General features: G+C 56.1%; 1 protein-coding gene across 1 annotated transcript in view, besides 9 other annotated features; it reads right to left on the minus strand.

Annotated features, from left to right (window-relative positions):
• The window catches only part of MYH9 (myosin heavy chain 9), a 106,688-nt gene extending 101,275 nt beyond the window's left edge, over positions 1 to 5,413 (minus strand). The window contains exon 1 of the mRNA NM_002473.6: positions 5,253 to 5,413. The gene's annotated coding sequence lies outside the window, so the exon portion shown is untranslated. The remainder of the gene's footprint in view (positions 1 to 5,252) is intronic.
• Positions 2,572 to 3,285: an enhancer, noted in NCBI's record as "H3K27ac-H3K4me1 hESC enhancer chr22:36781171-36781884 (GRCh37/hg19 assembly coordinates)". NCBI's record gives its function as "activates a minimal SCP1, AML or CMV promoter by ChIP-STARR-seq in primed H9 embryonic stem cells {active_cell/tissue: H9 hESC(primed)}" and the evidence as "EXISTENCE:reporter gene assay evidence [ECO:0000049][PMID:30033119]".
• Positions 3,057 to 3,246: an enhancer, noted in NCBI's record as "active region_18932". NCBI's record gives its function as "activates an Ori minimal core promoter by ATAC-STARR-seq in GM12878 lymphoblastoid cells {active_cell/tissue: GM12878}" and the evidence as "EXISTENCE:reporter gene assay evidence [ECO:0000049][PMID:35858748]".
• Positions 3,286 to 3,999: an enhancer, noted in NCBI's record as "H3K27ac-H3K4me1 hESC enhancer chr22:36781885-36782598 (GRCh37/hg19 assembly coordinates)". NCBI's record gives its function as "activates a minimal SCP1, AML or CMV promoter by ChIP-STARR-seq in primed H9 embryonic stem cells {active_cell/tissue: H9 hESC(primed)}" and the evidence as "EXISTENCE:reporter gene assay evidence [ECO:0000049][PMID:30033119]".
• Positions 3,757 to 3,806: an enhancer, noted in NCBI's record as "active region_18933". NCBI's record gives its function as "activates an Ori minimal core promoter by ATAC-STARR-seq in GM12878 lymphoblastoid cells {active_cell/tissue: GM12878}" and the evidence as "EXISTENCE:reporter gene assay evidence [ECO:0000049][PMID:35858748]".
• Positions 4,437 to 4,666: a silencer, noted in NCBI's record as "silent region_13665". NCBI's record gives its function as "represses an Ori minimal core promoter by ATAC-STARR-seq in GM12878 lymphoblastoid cells {active_cell/tissue: GM12878}" and the evidence as "EXISTENCE:reporter gene assay evidence [ECO:0000049][PMID:35858748]".
• Positions 4,947 to 5,026: a silencer, noted in NCBI's record as "silent region_13666". NCBI's record gives its function as "represses an Ori minimal core promoter by ATAC-STARR-seq in GM12878 lymphoblastoid cells {active_cell/tissue: GM12878}" and the evidence as "EXISTENCE:reporter gene assay evidence [ECO:0000049][PMID:35858748]".
• Positions 5,057 to 5,636: a silencer, noted in NCBI's record as "silent region_13667". NCBI's record gives its function as "represses an Ori minimal core promoter by ATAC-STARR-seq in GM12878 lymphoblastoid cells {active_cell/tissue: GM12878}" and the evidence as "EXISTENCE:reporter gene assay evidence [ECO:0000049][PMID:35858748]".
• Positions 5,057 to 5,724: a biological region, named in NCBI's record as "Sharpr-MPRA regulatory region 2056".
• Positions 5,430 to 5,724: an enhancer, noted in NCBI's record as "tiled region #2056; HepG2 Activating DNase matched - State 1:Tss, and K562 Activating DNase unmatched - State 1:Tss". NCBI's record gives its function as "activates a minimal TATA promoter and a strong SV40 promoter by Sharpr-MPRA in HepG2 and K562 cells {active_cell/tissue: HepG2 | K562}" and the evidence as "EXISTENCE:reporter gene assay evidence [ECO:0000049][PMID:27701403]".

The following is a 5,767-nucleotide window of genomic DNA, read 5'->3' on the forward strand; positions in this document are numbered from 1 at the left end:
CACTTTGGGAGGCCAAGGCGGGTGGATCGCCTGAGGTCGGAAGTTCGAGACCAGCCTGGCCAACGTGGTGAAACCCCATCTCTACTAAAAATGCAAAAACTAGCCGGGTGTGGTGGTGCACCCCTGTAATCCTGGCTACTCGGTAGGCTGAGGTAGGAATATTGCTTGAACCCAGGAGGCAGAGGCTGCAGTGAGCCAAGATCATGCCACTGTACTCCAGCCTGGGCAACAGAGTGAGACCCCATCTCAAATAAAGAAATAAATAAATAAATAAAATTACTTAATTTTTCAGTTTTTCAGGCACTCCCATACATAACTTGTGGGCACATAAACTGGTATGATATCTTTGTAGGGAGATACGGCACCTCCTCGGAAATCAAACCTGGCCAGGTGCAGTATTTCACACCTGTAACCCCAGCACTCTGAGAGGCTGAGGCAGGAGGGTTGCTTGAGCCCAGGGGTTTGAGACTAGCCTAGGCAATACAGCAAGATCCCATCCCTACAAAAAACACAAAAATTAGCCAGGTGTAGCAGTGTGCACTTGTAATCCTGGCTACTCAGGAGGCTGAGGCAGAGAATTGCTTGAGCCCAGGAATTTGAGGCTGCAGTGAGCTATGATCATGCTACTGCACTATAGCCTGGGCAACAGAGCAAGACCCTGCTTCAAAACGAAATCAAAAAACAAAAAGGAAATCAAACCTCCCCTCACCCAGAGCCAGAGTTGGAAGTAAGGTCTCCAGTCACCCAAGTCCAGTGCTCTTCCTGTATCACCCTTTGGCTATCTCCCAGACCACAGGAAACCATGTGTTTGAACTGAAACCACAGTCTGCACACCTTCTGTCCCAGCCGGGGCCCTGTGAAGAGGTTACTCAGCAGAAGTTCATCACCAAGTGCATCCAAAAGCATCAGCAGATGGGCCTCATAGCCACTTGTGAATAGGCAGTCCACAACCACAGTCCACAACCACAATACACGCATACCTTGTTGTGCACAGAGGCAGAAAGAACACCGAGCTAGAAGCCAGGAAAACAATCTGTCCCCCAGCCTCATCCCCACCCCCTCAACCTGATAACCTAGGGAGTTAAGACTGATCATTTATATTAAAAAAAAAGGGGGGGGGGTGCCAGGTGCGGTGGCTCACGCCTGTAATCCTAACACTTTGGGAGGCTGAGGCGGGTAGATCACCTGAGGTCAGGAGCTCGAGACCAGCCTGGCCAACATAGTGAAACCCTGTCTCTACTAAAAATACAAAAAAATTAGCCACGCATGGTGGCGGGCACCTGTAATCCCAGCTATTCGGGAGGTTGAGGCATGAGAACCGCTTGAACCCAGGAGGCGGAGGTTGCAGTGAGACAAGATAGTGCCACTGCACTCCAGCCTGGGTGACAGAGTGAGACCCTGTCTCGAAAAAAAAAAAAAAAGTGGGCGAGGGGGTGCTGGGTGTGGTGGCTCACGCCTGTAATCCTAGCACTCTGGGAGGTCGAGGCCGGTGGATCGCTTGAGGTCAGAAGTTCCAGACCAGCGTGGTCAACATGGCAAAATCCCATCTCTACTAAAAATACAAAAATTAGCCAAGTATGGTGGCAGGCACCTGTAATCCCAGCTACTCGGGAGACTGAGGCAGAAGAATCGCTTAAACCTTGGGGGCAGAGGTTGCAGTGAGCTGAGATTGTGCCACTGCACTCTAGCCTGGGCGAGAGTGAGACTCATCTCAAAAAACAAACAAACAAACAAAAACCATATATGAGCCGGGCACGGTGGCTCACACCTGTAATCTCAGCACTGTGGGAGGCCGAGATGGGCAGATCACCTGAGGTCAGGAGTTCGAGATCAGCCTGGCCAACATGGTGAAACCTCATCTCAACTACAGATATAAAAACTAGTGGGGTGTGGTGGTGGGCACCTGTAATCCCAGCTACTCGGGAGGCTGAGGCAGGAGAATTGCTTGAACCCAGGAGGAAGAGGTTGCAGCAAGCTGAGGTCACGCCATTGCACTCTAGCCTGGGCGACAGAGCAAGACTCTGTCTCAAAAAAAAAAAAAAAAAAAAAAAAAAAAAATATATATATATATATATATATATATATATATATATATATACAGCCACTACATATTAGGCCATGTACATACCTTATTTCTTTCAGTTCATGCATCTAACCCCACAGGGTAGGATCTTGATTCCCATATTATACATAAGCACATCCAAGCTGTGAGGCTATGTGACTTGCCTAAGGTCACAAAGCTATTAAGTAGCATGGTCAGGATTTGAACTCGGCCTGTTTCCAAAGCTCACGTTCTTTCCACTACCCCACTCTTCCCAGCTCTAAGAGTGGGATTCAGTAAGCCACAGCAGCAGCACTGCCAGGGCTCCATTCTTTTGTCAGCAGAGGACTCCAGCCCAGGGTCTCAGCACACCAAGGGTTAAGGCTGAGAGGCAGTGACTCTCTGGGGCTGCACAAAGGGAAATGCACTTCCTGCCCCAGCAGGCAGAGATGCTGTTTTATGCTCAGTAAATTAGGACGTTTGTTTAATTACGACGACACACAGATTTTGTTATTCTAAATATTTTTGGAACATGATGCTTGGGAGGAAGCTGTCAAGGCACGGGTTTTTTTTTTTCTCTCTCTCTCTTTTTCCTTTGCTTTGGGTTTCTCTTTCTCCCCCTCCAAGAGAAGGGTAGGGCCAGGCTCAGAGGAAAACAACAGCCAACCCCTCCTCTCCTTTTGAAATAAAGATGTCAAGCTGGTAAGGGCTGTCTTAAGTACTTTATTGAAGAATTAGCTAGAAGAGGAAGTAAAGGAAGAACAGCCAGCCTGGTTTCTAGCAATACCCTACCAGGCTACACAACAATGCTGCATTTTTTTAGTGTGTTTTTCTTCTTTTAAAGAGCTAACAGATCCTTGTTTTGTTTTTTCTGGAGCAAGAGCGGGCAAAAGGCAGGCTGTGATTAACATGCGTCCTTCATCCTACGAGAGAGAAGTTGTCCCATCTCCAACCCCTTAGGTTAAAAAGTTTAAAAATAAAAGCAAGAAAGCCAGGGCCCTCCCTCTCCTCTACCCTCCTGAACCTTTCAGATGAACAGCCTCACCGAATGCTGCCCTTCTCTCCGGGGCTGGGGAGCTCCCCAGAGCCTGCCAATGCCGGCTCTCCAGACACCTGGCTCTGCCCACCTGCGCTGCCAGGGTTTGCTGAGTGTGGAGACTGAAGTTCTTTGGTGTCACCCCACAGTCATCCAGAGCGCAGTGGCTCTCAAATTACACTGAGCAATCTCTCCATGTTTTTAATTACCCCCCAATTATCCACTAAGTGGCTCCTCACTTTCCAACACCGCATGCTTGCCTCAGTTTGCCAAACCTGCAATGTGCTTCTCCCTTGTAGCAGCCTCCTCCTTGCCCAAGAGAAGTGGCCCCTCTCAGCCTTGAAATTCCTGAGTCCTTTGTCTATGGCATACTTGGGACACACATCACAGGCTGCCTTTGTATTTCACTGGTTCTGCCACTTTCCCCTTGAGGACTGTAAACTCCCCAAGGGCAGAGGCAGGGCCCCGGGGATTTCACAGGGCAGTCTGGCTCCCTTCTCCCAATCCCCATGACTCACAGTACCTTTCCGGGGTCCCTGTCATCTCTACCTCACGTTAGACTCATCTACAGATTTGTCTCAGTTCTCCCCTAAGTGCCCATGGGCACGGGCCAGGTCTTACTCAACCTCCCACCCCCCCACCACCTGGCAGAGTCCCTGGCACAGAGAGGGCAGTTAAATATTTGCTCAATTACACATCTGTGTCCCCTTCCCCCACACATAGCAGCCTTGTATATAAACTGACTATTATTAATTGAGTGATTGTCTCAAAAGGCCTCCCTCCTTACCAAAAAGGGACTCCTAAGCCATCAGGTGAGCCAAACACTGGCCCAGACAGTGTAGTTAGAATGGCCACAGTGCTGCGCTGCACGGAGAAGGAGCTAAGGCTCTCTTCCCTTTCCACGGTTACTCATCAGTCACTTTGAAATCCTGTTAAACCCAGAAAAGGGCGCAGTGAACCGAGAAGTGGCTGGGCCTCTCAACTGCCCGGTGGAGACAGCCGCCTGCCTCTACGACCTGGGACTTCCCAAGGAGTCTTCTCTCCACACCGGCTGGGTGGGGCCGTGCGCTCACCCTGCCCCCCACCACAGGACAGCCGGCAAGCTAGTGCTGGGGGTGCTGAGTCTCAGTTTGAAACAGCGGGGCTTCCCTGGAGAATGAGGGTGCCGCAGTCCTGTCTCCTGTGCGTGGCCCCAGAACAGGATGGGGTGAGGACCCCAGCACAGGGAAGCGGGTGCGTGGAGTGGAGAATAGAAAACTCCGATTTGGCTCAAACAGGAAAGATGCAATCGCCCAGGCCTGCTCGTAACGGCAGAGCTAGCTGCCCCCGCACCCCGCCCAGACGGGATGGCCCCTGGGTGCGGTGGAATCAGGTGCACGCCTGGGCGGCCCCGACGGCTGCTGCATTCCGGGCCTCCCTCCCCCGAGGATCAGAAGTCGGAGGTCGAGGGCTGGAGCAGGGACTGGGGGTGGCCCTTCCTGTCTCGCGCCCGGGTCCCCGCCGGGTCCCCCTTGTCCGGGCAGCCGCCGCACCTCCCCCGGGCCCTCCCCGACCAGTCCGACGGCAGCGGGCGAATGAGGAAGTCGGCCGCGGAGGCGGAAACCGGGCCGGGTGCAAGGTCTGCAGCGGGACGGTCCGACTCTGACTCAGGAGGACGCCCTGACAGCTGCCAAACGGTGCCCGCTGCCCGTTACCTCCGTGCCTCAGACGCCAGAAACTTCCACGGGAGCGGCTGCCCCGGGCTCCCAACCCGTGAGGCTGCGTCCCAGGGGCCGCGGCTCCCGGAAGGGGTTAAAAAGTTTGCCCGAGTCGGGCCTGGGCGAGGCGAGGGCGGGGCGCGTGCCCCAGCGGCTGGGGGAGGTCGGCTCCAGTGCCCAGTCCTGAGACCGCGCCGGGGGACACGGGGGGCGCCGGGGAGCGCCGGGTCCCGAGGCCGCCCCTGCACCCCTAGGCCTCGCTGCTGCCGGCGCCCTCCCCGAGCGCCCGCGTGGGGGTCCCGGTCCCCCTGGGAAGGATGCGGTGCCGGGCCCTGAGCCGCCGGCGTTCGCCCCCGCCCGCGCGGGTGGCGGGCCGCACTGAGCCCAAGAACCACCAGTCGGCCTGGCGGCAGCGCGTCTCGCCCCCGCCCGCCCGCCGCCGCCTGCCCGGGGCGGGACCGCGGTGGGGCTCGCTCACCTGAACCTGGATCTGCCCCGGGAACAGGCGCTGCTTCTCCCGAGAGGACTTTCTCGAGCGCTCGGGCGGCGGCCGGGTGGGGCGAGCGCACGAGGCGGGAGCTGCAGCAGGTCAGCCTTGCTTAGCCTTCCGTGCCCTGCCCAGGAACCGCGGTGATCTGCGCGCCTCACCGCACCCAGCTCGGCTCCTCGCCGCCTTCCCGCCCCGCCCTCGGAGCCGCGGGACCATTCCCAGCCGGGAGCCGGCTCCGGGGCGGAGCCTGGGGCACAATCCCGCCCCCTTCCTGCTACACCCACTGCAGGCCGCGCCTGGCCTTGATGGGCAGACGTATTGGCCTGTGGAAAGGGGGTGGGCGGAGCCTCTGCGGCCAGATGGGTGGGGATTCAACATCCTCTTTCCGCCCCACCTCCACCCGCTCCACCTTCCCCCGCGCTTCCTAGGCGGGAGCCCCGCCCTCTAGGGCGGGTCCAACGGACAGCCAGGTTCTAGGACAAGGATTGACACAGGGGGAATCC

This window comes from Homo sapiens, chromosome 22 (genome assembly GCF_000001405.40).
Source record: "Homo sapiens chromosome 22, GRCh38.p14 Primary Assembly".
NCBI lineage: Eukaryota > Metazoa > Chordata > Mammalia > Primates > Hominidae > Homo > Homo sapiens.